This window comes from Homo sapiens, chromosome 14, assembly GCF_000001405.40.
Source record: "Homo sapiens chromosome 14, GRCh38.p14 Primary Assembly".
Taxonomy (NCBI): Eukaryota; Metazoa; Chordata; class Mammalia; order Primates; family Hominidae; genus Homo; species Homo sapiens.
In genome coordinates this window covers 85,075,259-85,095,472 of record NC_000014.9, presented here as the reverse complement: position 1 = coordinate 85,095,472, position 20,214 = coordinate 85,075,259, and positions in this window count along the sequence as shown.

Below are 20,214 nucleotides of genomic sequence, written 5' to 3'. Positions count from 1 at the left end.
GGCTTATGAGAATTTGCACAAAGAGACAGAAGGAATTGCAAGGTGGGGCAAGATCCTAAAGAGAAATTTCACAAATTTTTGCTGAGAATGTACTCAGAGTTTCCCTGATTCCCATCTTTTCTGAAACCAAGGTATTTACATTTTCTTCGAGATACCCCAATTGTGTGTGTGTGTGTGTGTGTGTGTGTGTGTGAGAGAGATATGGCTGAATGGGTGTGTATGTATGTGTTCGAATGTGTGTATTTGCCTCTGTCAGTTTTGTGTTTTCTTGAATGAAAACAAATTGCCTTCGATCATCACTAACAAAAGTTCTTTTAGCCCATTAAAAAAAAAAACTGTCTTTAGTCCTTCAGCTCTTACATTTAAGCTAATTAATATTTAAATTTTAAAATATATGAACTATATTTTTCATTTATTATTATTGTAATGTTAAAAATACTTGCTTTAATATGTTTAAATGGCTGTTTACCAAATTCATTTTTTAAAATAAAAAGAGTTGTTTTATATGTAGAATTGTAGGATCATGGTTATTCCAGAAAGTGAAGTAGAGTTGTCTTTGACATTTACAGGAATAGCTCAGTGTTTGTATATTAAGATATATAACTCAATTTCTTTGGATAGAATATTATGCAAGTATTTACTTTGTTTAGAATGAAATTTCATTCATCAGTTTGTTAAACTGAGGATAGGAAGAGACAAGGAGGAAAAAAGATGATTCTTTTAATGTTTCCAATCTGCTACTTATGGTTTAAACTTTTATGCCTTCATCCCTTTAAAACTTAGAATTTTGAATGTCAAATACTGTCTCTTGAAAATCACAAGTTTTTCCTTATGAATAATATCTCTGCTTTGAGTATTTTGGAATGTAGACCTAAAAATATTATGGTTTTTTTTTTTTTTTTGGTCTTCTTAAAAGAAATTCCAAAGATGAAGTTCACATGAGTATAAATAGAGCAGGCAATAAGAAAGTGTTAAGGGAAAACCTGGTTAATTCTAAATTTTGATTCACTGCAATAATATGTACCTCCACATAGACTATTTTTAAAAATATATTTCTTTTTTTTCCCGTGTCCATGAGATTAATTAACAATGACCTACTCCAAGTGATGAATTCACTCAGATTTTGCTTATAAGATGGAGGACAAGACTCATTAACACACATGATACTATGCTTCTTTGGCCTTATAACTATAGCACATATTAACTAAGACCAATTAAATTTGTTGAATTATTTGTAGTTTCTGCTAATAAAGTATGATTTCAGAGGTCCATGACCTGTAGCAATTTATAACTGAACTATGGCACACATTTAAACCAAGTATTTTGAAAGGCTGGTGAGTAATACAGCTAATGAATGAGCCTGGCCGACTACATTGCAACCACAACTCAAGGAGGTATTGCTATTCCCTATTTTACTTTATGTAATACCTTGTACAAAGTAAGAAAACAAAGCCTTATTTTTCTGAAAATGTCTTTTAAAAGAAAGCCAATGTTCGTGCTTGTTAAAGAAATGATGAGTAAGAAATGAAAGAAAATGATGGTTCTTAGCAAAAAAGGAGACATTTTGCATTAGGAATATTCCTCTGCCTTTGGGATTTCCTGTAAATTGGTTGATGAGTCTCGAGGCATGATCATACTGAGGTTTGATTTTTTTGGCAAGACTGTTTCATAGATGGCGTTGTGTCTTTCATCAAGTGGCACGTAATGTCTGGTTGTCTCTCCTGTGGAATGTTAGACCCACTGATATTCAAAACAAGGGATTGCAAATGGTATTATTTCTTCTTCCCATTTGTGACCAATTAGTAAATTTAGAACTAATTAGTACATGTGAGGAAGTTTCTATTTATAACTGACAGAAACTTCTTCACATTCACGAATTGGTCATGAATTGTGTAATTTGTATAGAAAAGATATGAAAAATGTTAGCTTCTTTTCCTTCACTTATCACTTTCAACATAAAGAGTGGGTTCCATAGTATCATCCAAAGGGATCCACTAGATTTTGTCAGGCAGGGGTGGGTATTATTATGAATAAATGGAATTTAAACAGAATTGATGAGTTCAAATATATTAAAATTATTGTCTCTACTGATACTCATTTAATTCCATCTTGGACCAGAGGGAGCTCCTTTAAGATGACTCCAAAGTCATTTTGACATGACTTTAATAGTATCTGATAGCTTCCTTGTAATCTTGTAATGAAAGATGACCCAAGATCATCTTGCATATTTCATGACCCAGATCTAACGTTACTCATTATTCTATAAAATCCTGGCTTGTTTTAGTTTAAAATGATTTTCCAAGATAATCACTTGATTGCTGGTAAGGTTATCTATTGCTACTGGCTTGATCATTATTTCTAGGTCTTTTCTGGGACTGTGCTATAGTTCATTTTGGGAACACAATAAGCAAAATCCAAATCATGAAAACTCTACAGGATAAACAATATGATTTCTTTTCAACAAATAAATTGCAAGGTAAAAGAATACCATATGTAGTAAAAGAGATTTAAATTATACATTTAAAGAATAGGCAAAACCAAAACATAAACATTCATAATTGGTGACAAAACTGTGAAAAGAAGCAAAAAATTGATTGCTATAAAAGTCAGAAAAGTCATTTCTATTAGGAGAAAAGAATTTTTTGTTTGCAAGGCGTCATGAGGAAAGCATGCAGAATGGCTGCCGAGGTTCTATCTCCTGACATGTAATGGTAGAAAGAAGATTTCTTCTATTTAAATTATTCATAAAGCTAAAAATTTATATCATGTGTGCATTAGTTAGGATTTTCCAACACAACCAATAGGAGATATATATATATATATATATATATGCATGTATGTATGTGTATATATATATGCATGCATGTATATATATATGCATGTATGTATATATATGTGCATGTATGTATATATGCACATATATATGCACACACATATGTCTATATATATATGATTTATTATAAGTTATTGGCTCATGTGATTATGGAGACCAAGGAATCCCACCATCTGCCATCTGCAAGCTGAAGACCCAGGAAAACTGGTGGTGTAATTACAAGGCCTGAGAGCCAAAAAGGCACTATGTAGATAACAGTTCTTGTCAGAAGCCCTGAGAACCAGGAACGTAGAAGCAAGAGATCAATGCCTCAGCTCAAGCAGTCAGGCAGAGAGGAAATTCAACCTCTCTCCAACTTTTTTTCCATTCAGACCCTCAACAAATAGAATGATGACAACTCACATTGGGAAGACCAATGTGCCTTACTCAGTCTACCAATTCAAATGCCAATCTCTTTCTGAATCACCATCATAGACACACCCATAAACAATGTTTAGCCAGGTATCAGCATCCCATGGCCCAGTCAAATTGAGACATAAGATTAACTATCACAATGTAGTTTTTCTGTTTTGTGAAATATTTAACAAAATACCCAGATAATTTTAAAAGTGAAGAATGAGTCAGATTAAACAAGACTGGAAAAATATTGATATCTGTTAGAGCTAGATATACAAAGGGAAGTTATAGTATGCCAAACTACACTTTTATATATGATTTTAAAATTCCAAAACAAAAAGTTTAAAAATAATGGAAATTGTGACAGGGCTTAAAGCAAATATATGCCAGCTATTCAGAAATTTAAAATCTTGAAATTGGTTGAAACGTGGGTCTACGAACTGCTCAATATTCCTACATAGCACGTAGAAAACTAGGGAAAAAACACTTAGGAAATTGTTTCAGTGATGTTTCTACTAGTGGAAAAATTATAATTACAGGTAAATAACGTAATTAATAACATAGTTAATTTAGTTTTCTTATCTTGTTTTTCTCCATTTGTCATGACTGCTTCAAATTCCCATTTATAATTATAATTCTGAAAAAATATATACCTTTTCAGAGAACCTCAAGAGTGCACCATGCAACATGTTATACGGAAGATTTAATTATGTGATGTTATTATTTCTTTTAAAATTTCGACTCCACTTTTATCCCTATGTATGAAGAAGGAAATATTTGAGGGGGATCTTTTTATATTCTTGTGCTAATTCTCCCTCTGGTTGACTCTTCCACAGGATATTTCATATCTTAATGATATAGTCAAGTTTTTTTAGTGTTAATGGGAGTTCTGCAATGGAGGATTCCCTCAATGAAGGTAATTATGATTACACACAAGCTTTAGACCAATCTTTAGAATCATATGAAATTAAGAATTTTTCAGATTTGCCTGTTTATTATTTGATTCCATTTATTACTAAGACTTATTCTTTAACTTTTGTCTTTGCATTGACAAAATATCAGCCCACTTTTCTGACATATGACCTTTTATTTCATAGATTCTATTTGTAAAATGCTTGCAAAATATACTTTTTTGTTTTTAACCATGTCTTTATGTCAAAATCCTCATTGTTGAACTGAGGGTTAGTCATTTGAGAATCAGCCTTTCTTCCCCTAACTTTCAAGACTTCGTTTGATTCAGTATTTGCTTTTCCCTCTTAAGCATAATCTGAGACTGATTTTCAAATTTTATATCTCAGCTGTCCAGAGCAACCTGGGAAATATTTATGTAGTACATCTATAATGGAATGTCTGTGCAATGTGATTACTCAAGGTTTTCTGTCCATGGTATTCCACTGACATTATCTCACAGAGCAACTATGCGAAATTTCCATGTAATTAATCCAGAGCAAAACTGTATTCAATCAACAATACCAATAATTATAACCAGTGCACTTCTATGTTTTTCAACTATTAGCACTTTTTAGTCCTGCTTTTTACTTTAGATTTTAATGTTCTTTTTCAAGATTAAAATAAAAAGGATTAGTAAAATTATTCTGCCTCATTTTTGATGCTTCTGTTTGGAATATTTTTCTCATTTTCCCTCTTGTTTCTAAAAAATAATTTTCCAGATTTCTTTTCAATGTAGCAAAATAAAATTCACTCACATGTGGAATGGCAAGTTAGTGTTTCTACTGTGGACTAACCTCTAGACATATACTTGACAAGCATGGTAAACTAATGTTTAGGATCTGTTCAAACTTAGTCCTCTCGATAGATGAAGCATTAGAATATACAGCCTGGAAGTGTGTTTTGCCATACTTAACGCTTTAGAAAGCATACAGTAAAAGGTATCATTAGCTAAAACTGAGATGTTATTATCCCTCCATTCCACAATTTTTGTGATCACTACAAAATAATTTCTCACCCTGAATTGGTACAATTTATTTTTACAAATTAGGCACTGAAGAGGAAATATAAAATGTAAGTATATAATTAAAAACTAAGTTGTTTTTACTCTTCTAGAATCATCTTTTAATACTATAGCAAATGCTATGGGTGCCCAGTCTAATTTGGACATAAAATGGGGAGAGTTACCATACATATCTGTGGATTCTGTATCTCTGTACCTCAGAATGTCTTCTTGTCTCCTTAGCCTGCAAGAGCAGGAAGAGAGACAGTCAATTTCCAGGAAGCTAATACCCTAGAAGCTGTCCTTCACCAATAAGAGATAGGAGCAGATACAAGTTTCTTTGCCTCTGGGTGGATAACCTATGCATTAAACTACTTTTTTTTCTTAACTATAGAGTGTGTTTATTTTGCAAGTGAATTTTTAACTCTTTAGCCACAATTTCCTCACATTTTTACATTATCAAATTGTTTTTAAATGCTTTTTAAACATTAGATATGGAAATTGTTAGAAGTTAAAAGAGAAAAACATGTTCTTTCTGTTGTATAATATTGTATGATATTTAACTTAAGGATTATTACCCTTCTGAATATCAAGAATTGAAACTACTAAGGGTCACATTTCTTTATAGGTCCCAAAATAGCCTTGAGGTTGGAATAGGAAAATATCTTTTGTAAACTGTAACAAAACTTTCACCTCAAAGTAAAACACTATGAAATTTACACAAGTATACATGTATTCAATATCCTTACAATATCCAGAAATCTACTGGAGTTTTAGAAATGGCAGTGAAAATAGGTTTACATTCAGAAAACTGAACTTATACCAAGACGACACAACTTGAAACCCAGTACCCTGTGCAGATGTCTGATGTCTGCTCAATCTTAGAGCATCATAAAATTGACACTGCGAAAAGCACACATCCTCGGACACTCAGTAAACGTAAGGCAGAAAAAAAATTCCAGTGAAATTAGCTTTCACTGTTCATGTAAATGGAGTGCAATATTCAAATTCCTTAGGGTACCCTAAGGCTCTCAGGATTTCTGGTAACATTTCTGCATGTGTAGTATCCTTTTCTGTTTTCCATCAATTGTATCCATAGCTGTGCAGTTCTAAACCAGCTTCTAGAAATTCTGCTCAAAAACTGGTTTTAAGGTGCTCTATGATTGCTTCCCAAAACTTTATATAGTGTCAGATCAACAAGCCACTCCTCTACGTGACATGGTCAGCTTTATTTTTTTTCTTTTTAAATTTTAAAATGATACATTATGACAAAACTATTTCTCTCAAAGCCAAATTGGGTTAGCATGGATTAGTATATCTAATACTTAGGCAGACATGGAGAAATCTCAGAGCTTCCTAAGAGCAAGACATCGATTCTATGGTTAACTGGTGGCAGATTTCAGGGGATTCAGCTCCCTCCCTGTGGCCATGTTGGAACACCTGGTGGAGCTCTCTAAAGGGAGGATCCTCTTGAGTCTGATCCCTTCCACGCAGCCCCTGCATGTCAGAGGCAGAGAGATGGCCCACATCAGACAAAAGAGGTTCTGTATGAGCGTCCTGTGTAAGCACCTCCTTTCAGTGAAAAGACCTGAGTTATTACAACTCTAGCCATGTTACGTGCTACATTGAATACAATGCTCTCGATAGGTCCTCAGGCTGTGCGACCCTACTGAATACACATCATTGAAGCAGGTCACATCTGACATTCCCTAAAAGCCACAGCAAAGCCACAGCAGCAGTCACCTTTGTGAGCACAAAGCCTCATCTCCTTTCTGTCCATTTGTGCGGCTTTCCTTCTTTCTGTGGGAGAACCAAAACAACCACTCCCATTGGTTATGCAATTCTGGGAATTTAAAAATCACTCTTATGAGTTATGCAATTATCACAAAAGGTCTTGTGACTTGATTACACATTCTTCTTTGCTCAGATCCTTGCTAGATTGCACTAGACTGTTCTGAAAAATTGATCAATATAAAATCTTATCTCCTTCTGATGTCACACACAAAAATCCTTCGAGTTCAACCCATAAAGTCATAAATATTGTACACTCATTTCCCTAATGATACCCCACTTCAAAGTTGTCTATGTAATGTTTTCTCTTGGTGCTGTAAGTAAATACAACTCTGTTTGTTTATGTTATATAGCTGGTTTCTTTTATTTCAGGAGGTATTTTACATGCCAACCTAAATTCTTCACCAAATCTTTGTTCCAAAATTCTTGCCTCGGTATCTGCTTTTGGGGAAACTAAAAGTAAGAAAAGTACATTGAAAAATATATCAATTAAATATTACATGTCAGTGACTCCTATACATTATTTTTTTTAGTTCTTGTGGAATATATTCTTATTTGACCATACCTGTGATAACATACATTTTTACAGGAGCTCGCTGAAGGAAGTTATAAAATCCATGACTTAATAATGGAGATACTATTTTTCTTGAACGTAAACAATCTTCATGTTTGCCACTTGCAATGGACTGAATTATGTCTCTCCCAAATTGATGTATTGAAGCTCTAACTCTCAAAGTGATTCTATCTAAGGATAGGATATTTAAAAGGTAATTAAGATTAAATGAGATCATAAGGATGGGCCCTAATCTGATAGAACTATGGCCTTATAAGAAAAGAAAGATATTTATTTTTTTTTTCTCTCTCTCTCTCTCTGTCTCTTTCCACTAAGCGAGAACACAGTGAGTGAGAAGGTGGCCATCTGCAAACAAGGGAAAGAGCTCTCATCAGACCTCAACACACCGGCATTCTGATTTCGGACTTCCAGCCACCCAAACCATGAGAAAATAAATTTCTGTTATTTAAGACATCCAGGGTATGGTATTTTGTTATAGCTGACTAATACCAAGCTGAGTAATCCTGAGCTGAATAATACTCAACTTCTAGGCTAGTTCATAAAAGCATGAATAAATACTCAACTTCTAGGCCAACTTCTAGGCCTAGTTCATAAAAGCATGAATAAATACTCAACTTCTAGGCCTAGTTCATAAAAGCATGCCATGCCTAATTGACTGTGTTCTTTCCTTGGAATGTGTGTGTGGAAGCTAATAGAATCCTGGAATCACTATCTGAAGGAGACATATTGTTCATAGTCACCTGTTTTGGAATTTACGAGATGCATTGACTTATACTTATTAATCCACTTAGATTTTGGGGTGTATCTATTATAGTACCTAGGGTACTTCACAGAGAAATTAGTACCTAGAAGTAGTGGAATATTGCCATAACTAAAAACTTGAAATTGTATCCCTGACTTAGTGGTTAGGTGACAGAAAGCAAGGGCATTGGTTTTGGAGCCTGAAAAGATGAACAGCCATGGTATGTGGTGTCAAAACACAAGAAATTAACATCTATAAGAAAAATTACTTATCTATGAGTTTATGTTCTTAGACATGGGGTTGTAAGGTGTCTGTGTCATATTGTTTTTATTTTATTTTTGCTTATAACAAGGTATTATTAGAAATGCTAATCCAAAAAAGAATTGACCATCTGGTAAGCAGAGTTAAAGAGCATAGAATGAGTCTAGAAGTTTAGGGCCTCGACATCAGAAATACAAATCACTTCTAGATCCTAAACTGTAGGATATAAAGACAATGACAAATGCCTTCAATAACTTCTCATATTTTTTCCTTAGAAAAACTAAAATTAAATGCATAGGCCTCTTACCTATTATTTCAGGTAGTCTCCAGCTACCTATATTATACCAAAGAAGATGTTCATAAAGATAAAAGAAAGAAAGAAAGGAAAGAAGGAGGGAAAGAAGAGAGGAAATAAGGAGGGAAGGAAAAAGGGAAGAAAGAAAGGGAGGGAAGAAATGAAGGAAGGAGGGAAGGAAGGAAGGAAGAAGGGAGGGAGAGAGGGAGAGAGGGAGGAAGGAAATGAGGGAGGGAAGGAGGGAACTTTCAGAAAAATGTATAGAAAAAATGTGGGTTTAGTCACTGGCATAAGGTACCAAGTAGAAACAAATAGATACAAAGTCTGTTAAAGGTATTTCCAAAAGCTCCATGAACCTGAGTTAAAGAATTACAGAAACTACTGACTGATTCATCATTAACACAACTTTTACATTCCCAGACTTACAGTATCAAGAAGTCAACTGTGAAAGCTACAGATCACCAAAAGGAAAGACACTTATAAACCACCACCTCAGGTATGGGCATATAGAAGAATGGAGGAAAAAAACTTTCTGGAGAGTGAGATCATGGGTCACAAAGAACAATAGACAAGAGAGTTATTTCCAGAGAGCAGGATCAGGATCTAATCAGGACCTTCCTCCACCATTAGGGCACAGGCACCTCATGATGCCAGCCTGGAACAGGTTCATCTTGCTGTGGGCTAATGACCACTATGTGTCTCCCATAATTCTGTTTTTCAGATGCGCGTATCAATCATAGTTACCCTGTCTTTTTTCTACCATTTGCCATCATAGAGTGGGAAGGTACAGATCATTTGCCTTCTTGTATACTGTGTCAGGAGGAGTCACATTTGAGCTTGATGAAGCAGTGTGTGGTTACTCAGAGGTTGTGGACTTTGAGTAGAAGGTAGTGACTGGATAGGAATTTGATTTATCTCATTTGGGAAAAAGGTGTGCATTCTATGCATGTGAGAAGGGTAAAGATATATGGTGCCTAAAAGGGCAGACTATGCCAGTGATTGGGTTGATATTTACCAAATCCATTTCCTCATTCACCTGGGAACTCAGGCATACTACATTTTCAAGACATGCCTCTCAGACAGGATTCTGCATCATTTAATTTCATTTTCTGAACATCACTTTAACCCCTAACTAAAACCTGCTACAAGAATAATACAAGATTAAGCTATAACAAGCACTCAAAGTTCTATTTTTGCACATTTGAATTGTGGTATATGAATTTAATCCCACAGTATCTAAATGTTATGAGATATCTTGCATTAGAAAGATCTGTTTAACCCATCAACTCATTTTCCTGACCATCAAATTCTGTTTTCATGCAATACTTACTAGCATCCCACAGAATTAGTCTGCTGTGTGAGTATAGTTCAGAAACTGCTCTGTGGGTTAAGAATACTTATGATTCCATTTGGAGAGGGTAACACCTCCTTCATTAGAAGACTCTCTTAGTAAGCATGAGTATACCAAGTCTTCCCTGCATCATGCTATTCTTCTCCGAATTTGCATTTAGCTCAGGTCCAAATGTTCCAAAGCATTCTTCTAATATGGAACCAAATTCTCAACTCTTAAAAATAGGAAGGATCGGCCGGGTGCAGTGGCTCTTACCTGTAATCCCAGCACTTTGGGAGGCCGAGGTGGGCGGGTCACGAGGTCAGGAGTTCGAGAACAGCCTGAATAACATAGTGTAACCCTGTCTCTACTAAAAATACAAAAATTAGCCAGGCGTGGTGGCACCTGCCTGCAATCCCAGCTACTCAGGAGGCTGAGGCAGGAGAATTGCTTGAACCCAGGAAGCGGAGGTTGCAGTGAGCTGAGATCATACCACTGCACTCTAGCCTGGGTGACAGAGCGAGACTTCCATCTCAAAAAAAAAAAAAAAAAATAGGAAGGATCTTATTTTCTCACTGCTATTAACTGAATGTTTGCATAGCCCCAAAATTCATATGTTGAAACCTAATCCCCAATGTGATGGTATTTGGAAATCAGTCCTTTGGGAAACAATTGTGCCATGAGGGTGGAGGCCTGTTGATGAGATTAGTGCCTTTATAAGAGACAGGAAAGAGCTTGCTTGCTCTCTCTCTCTCGGCTGTCTGCCATGGGAGGAGGCAAAGAAAGAGATGACCATTTGCAAACTATGATGAAAGCCCTCACCAGACATCAGTCTGCTGACACCTTGATCTTGGATTTCCCCACCCCTAGAACTGAGAAATAGATGTTTGTTGCTTAAGCTGCCCAGTCTATTGTACTTTTTTTATTGCAGCCCAAACAGACTAAGACAGTTACCTACATCCCTTAAGCCCCTCCCCTCCTCAGTGTTCCACTTAACTTTCATGTCCCTTGCATTAACTCTGATAAAATCCAAATTGCTTGTCACAGGCAGACTATTTAATGCTGTTATCACATGAGTGTCTTCTCTTTGGGTATTTGAGAAAAACTCTAAGTGGCAAATGAGGAAATGTCTAGCTTGATTCTCAAGGAATCTGGAGGCTTCTTTGGGACAGGATTATGCTGGAGAGATTCAGAAGCGGTATCAAGAGTAGTGTCAAGTATGTATATATATATAGGTATGGACACAAGACATAGGCAGGATAATGGTTTCTTCCACTTAAATGTGCAGCCTTCTCAGGGGAGTCATCCCTAGTACTTGCTCAAGATGATTTTGTTTATCACACTTCCTGGTGACACAAAGAGTGTCCCACAAAAGCAGCCCCTTTTTTTATTCACTTCTCTGGGAATTTGTGGTTACAAGTTGACAGTAGGCTCACTCTGGGGCCCAGACATCTGAATCCTGACCCACCCCTTCAATTCTCCTCCCCATCTCTATTTCAATTAATTCCCTCTATACCTTCATTAACAAAAAGTTTAATGTTCTCTTTTTCTCATACAAAAATACTTATAAAGAGGTTCAGAATCTCCCAGAAAGAAATTCTAGTATTTGTAACATGAACACTTACTCACACTGCCTCTGGGAAATAATATTTTACTCTTAAGAGTACCAAGAAAGTACTGTCTTTGGAAACTGTTTTAGTCAGGGCTCTCTAGAGTGACAGAGCTAATAAGATATACACACACACACACACACACACACACACACACATATAATAGCAGTTATATATGTATAAATATATATACATATAAAGTAGTTTATTAAGCAGTTTATTAAGTAGTATTAACTCACACAATCACAAGGTGCCACAACAGGCCATCTGCAAGCTGAGGAGCAAGGAAGCCAGTCCAAGTCTCAAAGCTGAAGAACTTGGAGTCTGATGTTTGAGGGCAGGAAGCAACCAGCATGGGAGAAAGATGTAGGCTGGGAGGCTAAGCCAGTCTAACCTTTTCAGGTTTTTCTGCCTGCTTTTATATTCTGGCTGCACTGGCAGCTGATTAGATGGTGCCTACCCAGATTAAGATTGGATCTGCCTTTCCAGGCCCACTGACTCAAATGTTAATCTCCTTTGGCAACACTCTCACAGACACACCCAGGATCAATACTTTGCATCTGTCAATCTAATCAATTTGACACTCAGTATTAATCATCACAGAAACGAAGAGAAGAAAGAGCTCTTCTATTTGGAAACCAAGAGAAGCAAGTAGAAGAAACACTTTCATTCCCACTTGCTGGCTCATTCTGTTTTGGGTTGAATTGCACCCCCTCCTCCTACCACCAATTCCTGTGTTGAAGTCTTAGCTCCCAGCCCTCCAGAAGGTGACTGTATTTGGAGATAGAGTCTTTATGGGGTAGTCAAATTAAAATGTCATTAGGGTGGGCCTTCATTCATTCAATATGACTGGTGTGCTTGTAAAAAGGGGAAAACTACAGATAGAAAAGCACACAGAGAGAACATCATGTGATGATAAAGGCAGAACTTGGGGTAATGTTTCTACAAGGCAAGGACCACCAATGACTGCCAGCAACCACCAGAAGCTAGAGGAGAGGCATGACACAGATTCTTTCTCACAGCTCTCGGGAGACATCTTGATCTGACACTTCCAGCCTTCAGAAATGTGAGACAATACATGTTTGTTGTTCAGACCACTCAGTTTGTGTTTGTTATGACAGTCCTAGGAAACAAATAAATGCTCCTTCAAGGACAGACTAAAGAACTTCTTGTTGACCTGAAATCATCAATACCCACACGGCACACACTGAGTTGTCATGTTCTGCTGCCCAAGCTCCTGCTCTTGCATCCTACCAACCCTTCTTTCTGGGTTTATTAGTTCTCTCTCACCTTTTCTTTTGATCAACATGGCTTCTTGCTCCATAACTGTGATGGTGGGGAGCTACAGGTGGTGGGGAGGGTGGGTGGTGGGGGAGGTCAGGGAAAGGTGGAAAATTTGGGGTAGAGGGATCATTGTCCCAGGCCTGCAGGGAGACTTCCTTTCCCTGTCTGCACATTAGCTCATACTGAACACTTACCAAGGCCACAGTATTTCGGAGACAAAGAAAATGAGTTTCACTTAGAGATGTCAGTTTGCAGCTTTAGTGCAGGTCTGGAAACAGAAGACAGGATGTAAGATAGAGCTATTGACCTGAGAATCAGTGAAATCCTGAAAGGGGGTGAGAATTTATAGGTATTCTCTGTATTCAATAAAGAAGACAGCTGAGGGAAGAACTCAATAAACAAAGAGAGAACAAGAAGGAGAATAAAATGCAAATATAAGCTGACATTTATTACCCTCTTATTAAGTGGCAGGCACTATAACAATAATAAGATCTAACACATTCAGTGCTTACTAGATATCGGGCACCGTTTAAATACTTTTGAAATATTATCTAACCATCTAGCAAAAACTATAATTGTACAAGTGCTATTATTATCCCCATTTCTCCAATGAAGATACTGAGGGTCTTAGAGTTTACCAATTAGGCAGCAGAGAGCTCATATGCTCTTCCTGACCACAGAACACTACTGGTAAGTCAATAGCTATAGGCTACAACCAACAATAGGTTAAGTATACATGAATTTATGTTTGGAGCCTCCTATAATCTTCAGGGATACAATATGAGTTGGGTGCTGATAAACGATTTCTATTTTGAAGACTGAGGCTCAGACAGGTTAAATATATTGTTTATAGGTACCAAAGCAGTTAATGGCAGTGTTTGGAATGCATGTAAAAACTGGTGGAATACCAATGAGGTGTGTAGTTGTGTTGATGTCAATTTCCTGGTTTTGAGTATTGTATTATGGTTTTTAAAGATATCGTCTTCGGAGAAAGTTGGATAAAGAGTAGATGGGACTCCTTTGTATTCTTTTTGCAACTTCTTGGGAGTCTTCAATTATTTCAAAAAGGATGTTAAAATAATCTTCAAAAAGTAGTGCTTTATTGGAACCCAGTTGTTTCTGGTTCTGAAGTGCACACACTTGTCCTGGATGACACACTTATTTTTCAAGATACTCAGGAATAAGCAAAAAAGCAGGACAATAAAAAGTGAAGAGAGAGAGAGAAACAGAGAGCGAAAGAGAGACAGAGAGACAGAGGATAAATAATAAATAAAACATATGCAAACCTATAAACAATGTCACTATGCAATTAGTCATTTTAAATGCATTCTCAGTGCATTCACAGTGACTCTCCAAAGGCGGTGTCAAAAATGTTTTCATACTTTGTGAAAATTCAGGCTTAGCGAAGTTAAGTTACACCACAGGTCATTAGTGTCTGTACCAAGAATAACCTTCAGGGCTCTTAAAACTCTAACTCTGCAGCTTCTGCCATTCCTATTACACAAAGGTGCCTGGCAGAATCTAAAGACAGAACTAGCATGATTGCTGTTCAATTTCCCTTTGCATGGAGAGCCTAACCCAGTACCAGGCACATAGACATACCAGGGACAAATACATGAAGTTGGGTTGGCTCTTTTAACTGCTCTAAATGTCATCACCCAAACCCAATTAATACACCCTCACCATAACCTTAAATCTTGCACAAAAAGAACTCTGCCTTGAGGAAGCCTGTAGAAATTCAGCAGGGAGGGCTTCAATTTGAGTGCTGATCAGACTCAGCTTTGCGAGCTCTGGCAGGACCTGAAGAGAGAGCTGCACACAGCCGTTGACGCTTTAGGTTGCCTGCTGTTTCTTCTAGACGGCTGTCAAGGCTGATAAAACCTGTCATGCTTTCCCTGGCTGTGCAGCCATTTAATAGCAAAAAGACATCACCATAGGAAGCACAGTCAAGAGGCATAACGTTTTTGGAGATGGATGGATGGATGCTTTGTTTTGTGTCTCCTTACAACAACTTAAATGTTGATCCATTCCTTGGAGGCGTCCTCATCTACCACCCAGGAGTTACCTTGGAGCTTACTTCCTACAACAAGTCCAGAGTGTTTGATGGGCATTGTGCCCTTAGCACACAGAGAGATAAAAAAACCAGGAGGTCAGGTGTGGAAATGTAAGGCAGTGTATTAGGTAAGATTTAACAGCAGGGCAGTTCAGAATGCTCAAATGTACTTAAGTTTCTGGACTTGTCACAAAAAGTGTTTTATTTCCTTTCAGATGTCAAAAAGAATAATAATTTTAAAAACAGCTTGAACTACAGAGCCAATGGCTGGTTTGATTAAGGTGCCTGGAACAGGATGGAGTAATATCAGACAATGTTGTGTTACCAATTAGTTCATATAGCTTTGGAATGAGAAAAATCTTGTTTATCAAAAAAATTGTGCAATTGTATGTTCTTCAAGTTTTTATTTTTCAAAGAGGACAAGGCATAAGAAATAAAATTTAATGAGCTCTCATGGAAAACATCTAATATGAAAGAAGACATCTAACTAACCTTTAATTATCTTTAAACTTACTCCACTTATGAAACATCTAATACGTTTCAGAAATGGGATAAGCTAATTAAAGTTTTCAAAGTTATAAAAATAGATGTTTGGAGAAATAGTTTTGTAGCCAGACACCTATTGCCACACTGCTCTTCTACTATTTAACATGTTCATACAGTCTTTCTCTCTCAGTTGATCTGTGTATATACATTTATGCTTCCCCAACTCTTTAACTCTTCCTCAGTTTTACCATTATATAAATAGATGTAGAATCATTGCCTTTTATTTATATTGCTTAGGATTTATTGTGCTTCTTGAATCTAAGGATTCATGATTTTTGTCAATTCTGAGAAATCATCAGCCATTATCTTATGAAATGTTATGTTGTCTATGTTCCTGCTCTTCTCTCCATGTGGAATTCTGATTAGATATGCATAGTTTTTCCTATCTCTTCACTTTCATCTTTTTTATTTCTTTAACCCCTTCTAAAGCATACCACATTATTTTTTCCAAGCTTGATCTTACAGTTTACTAACTTTTTCTTTAACTGTTGAATCTCAACTCCGCAAAATTTATTTTCCTATTTGTATTGTAATTTAGCAATATGAACTCATGTTTGGTGGGGCTTAACATGGGAATCTTGTGAGATAAACACTGAAATTTCTTCCTCTAGGTAGAATTTGCCTTTGCTTTTCCAAGAGTGCCTTAAATTTTGTTATTCTGAGATTTTGAATATTCAGGAAGTTTTTTTTTCTGTCATCCAGATCACAGGTTGTGGCAGAAACACTCATTTTCTTCAGTGGCTCATTTTGCATATAGAAGAATGTTTTTTTAGTCTACTCTTTTACTCATGGTTTAGTATTTCAAGGACCCTGGCTTTTTGTGTGTGTTTTGTGGAGAATTGGGATATACTAACTCTAATTATATATTTCGTTTAGATCCAAGGCTGCTATTATATCCTTTATACGAACATTAAAACCCAATCCCAATTTGCCAAAATTGACAGGTACCCTCAGAAAACTCATAACTTCAGCCTTTGCTTGTTGTGTGTGTGTGTATTCTTAACTTTTGACAACCTGAGGGTTTTCTTTTTTTCATCAGAGCTCCTGTATGATTTAATGAAAAAACATGTTTACTTGTGAACCAAAAAGTGCTTTAAAAGTAAAGTCTATTAAAAAATGTTTGTCCACTGTGGTACTGGTACAAAAATAGACACATAGACTAATGGAACAGAATATAATATTTAATAAATATTTAACAGAATATTTAATAAATGGTCCTGGGAGAACTGGCTAGCCACATGCAGAAAATTGAAACTGGATCCCTTCCTTACACTTTATACAAAAATTAACTCAGGATGGATTGAAGACTTAATTGTAAAACTGAAAACTGTTAGAAAAAAACCCTATAAGAAAATTTAGGCAATAGCATGCAGGACATACTCATAGGCAAAGACTTCATGATGCAAATGTCAAAAACAATTGCAACAAAAGCAAAAATTGACAAATGGGATCAAATTAAACTAAACAGCTTCTACACAGCAAAAGAAACTATCATCAGAGTGAACAGACAACCTACAGAATGGGAGAAAATTTGTGCAATCCATCCATCTGACAAAGGTCTAATATCCAGGATCTAAAAGGAACTTAAACATACTTACAAGAAAAAAAACAAACAAACAACTCCATTAAAAAGTGGGCAAAGGACATGAACAGACCCTTCTCAAAATAAAACATTCATGAGGCCAAAAACATGTGAAAAAAAGCTCAAGATCACTTAACATTACAAAAATGCAAATCAAAACCACAACAAGATACCAACTCATGCCAGTCAGAATGGTGATTATTAAAAAGTCAAGAAACAGTTGCTGGTGAGGTTGTGGAGAAAAAGGAACACATTTACACTGTTGGTGGGAGTGTAAGTTAGTTCAACCACTGTGGAAGCCAGTGTGGTGATTTCTCTGAGACCTAGAAGCAGACATACCATTTGACTGAGCAATCCCATTACTGGGTATATATCCAAAGAAATATAAATCATTCTAATATAAAGATACATGCATGTGTATGTTCATTGCAGCACTATTCACAATAGCAAAGACATGGAATCAACCCAAATCCCCATCAACTGGATAAAGAAAATGTGGTACATATATACCATGGAATACTGTGCCCCCATAAAAAGAAACAAGATCATGCCCTTTGCAGGGACATGGATGGAGCTGGAAGCTATTATCCTCAGCAAACTAACACGGGAACAGAAAACCAAACATCGCATGTTCTCATTTATAAATAGGAGCTGAACGATGAGAACACGTGTACACATGGAGGGAAACAACACACACTGGGGCCTGTTGGGGGGATGGGGAGAGGGAGAGGATCAGAAAGAATAGCTAATGCATTTGGAGCTTAATACCTAGGTGATGGGTTGATCTGTGCGGCAAACCACCATGGCACACGTTTACCTACGAAACAAACCTGCATATCCTGCACATGTACCCTTGTACTTAAAAGTTGAAGAAAAAATGTTTGTCTACATTTTATCCAGAATATTTGAATTATGTGTATATGTGTGAAATAGAATTTGTTGTAGAATGCTATTTCTCACAATAATAAGTTAGAGATATTACTGGAAATAGAATTCCTTCAAATGTTTTGAAGGAAAAACAAATAGAAATTTCCAAACAAGATATAAAAGGGAAACTAGAATGGCTGGGCAAGGTAACTCATGCCTGTAATCTCAGCATTTTGGGAGGCCAAGGCAGGCAGATCACCTGAGGTCAGGAGTTCAAGACCAGCCTGGCCAACATGGTGAAACCCTGTCTCTGCAAAAATACAAAAATTAGCCAGGTGTGTTAGTGCACACCTGTAATCTCAGCTACTTGGGAGGCTGAGGCAGGAGAGTCACTTGAACCCAGGAGGCAGAGGTTACAGTGGGCCGAGACTGAGCCACTGCACTCCAGCCTGGGCGGCAAGGGTGAAACTCTGCCTCAAAAAAAAAAAAAAAAAAAAAACCTAGAATGAATAAGAAGTCCATTAATTTTTGTTTATCAAGAATTGACAATTGCTGGAGTAGATTTTAAACCAAAAGAATGCATGGATATTTTAATTATTGGATGATTTGTTGACATCAGAATGATGATCACAAATTTATCTAAATTATCGACATTTTGACATTTAACTTGCTGTTTTAATTTAAAGGTTAAAATGGCCTGTGAGATACGTGAACTACTTTTGACCATCTTAGTGTTTATAGTAGAAAGCTGTCCTAGTTTTTATCTTTCCTTAGTATAAAACATCCCATTTTGAGTTCAGGAAAGTGTTGGTTTTTTTTTCCCCCCTCGAATAAGATTTCAGGGGGAAAAAAACATAAAAATAAGCCTAAAGCCTTGTTAGGTTCTACATATATCTTTCCTTCAAATATCTTCTTTGTTAAAAAATAAAACAATTAAACCAGAAATAATAATTATCTATCCAAAATCCATTTTGTAAACTGTGACTAATCTTGGATAAACTGTGTTGTAACAGATAAAGTATGAGAGAAATTTCCCTTGAGGCATTGAGTTAATTGCCATAATTCATTGGTTGGGTGTGACTTCTACCACTTCAAAAAAGACTTTTGAACCAAGGCCATGTTGAGGAATTACCTTATTTTAATTTCTTTTCACCATATTGTAACATCTGTGTTTAGTATGTTTAATGGTGGAACAGCAGCTCTTTTGTAAATCATTCTCCGCCAAATCCAGGAGTGTATGGTATTCTAGAGATTATTTGATTCTAATAATAATGAGTGAAAATTTTAGGATAGACTACATTACCCTTAACATTCCCCTTTTATCTAACTACTAATTTATGTATTCATCTAAAAACTTTGTAATACTTTCTATAGATCTGCAACTGTTCAAAAACAGAAGAAACAGTGTAAGAATTTCACTCATGGGAGTGAATGAATTTTGAATTCACAGTGGAATGTTTCATACAACATATGGGAGCATTTATATATGCCTGGGTGTTGCACTGGCACTTTACATAATTAGCCTATGATTTTGAGTTCAGAATAGGTTTTTTCCCCCCCTTATAAGAAGATGTTATTTTCTGTGTATTAATTAAATTGGGGTAGGCTAAGTCACATGGAAAATCACCCAACTAGCATAAACTTTGCATGATCATTAATATAACTTACTGTGTTAAGGCAGTGAGTTTGGGGGGCTGTTTAGAAAGGGCTTGTGCTTGTTCTTCAGTAGCCACAGTGCCTACCTCACTTTCCTACTTCACAGTGTTATGTACTCTAGTGATTAAGCATGCAGATCCTGGAGGAGTCCTCTCTGGGTTCAAATCCTGCCTCTTTCACTTCAGCAAATTACTGAACCTCTCTGTGCTTCAGTTTATTTTTAAATGGCATAAAAATATTCTCCAGCACATAGAATTGGGGTGAGGCTAAAAGAGTTAATCAATTCCAGTATCTGGAATGCACTAAAAGTTAAACAAATGTTAACTATTATAACACCACCCTGTTCCATTTTATTTTCATGATTTTCTGACCCATTTGGCATTCAAATATGGGATACATATCTTCAGAATTATGAAATTTAAAAAGACACAAAATAGTGGGAA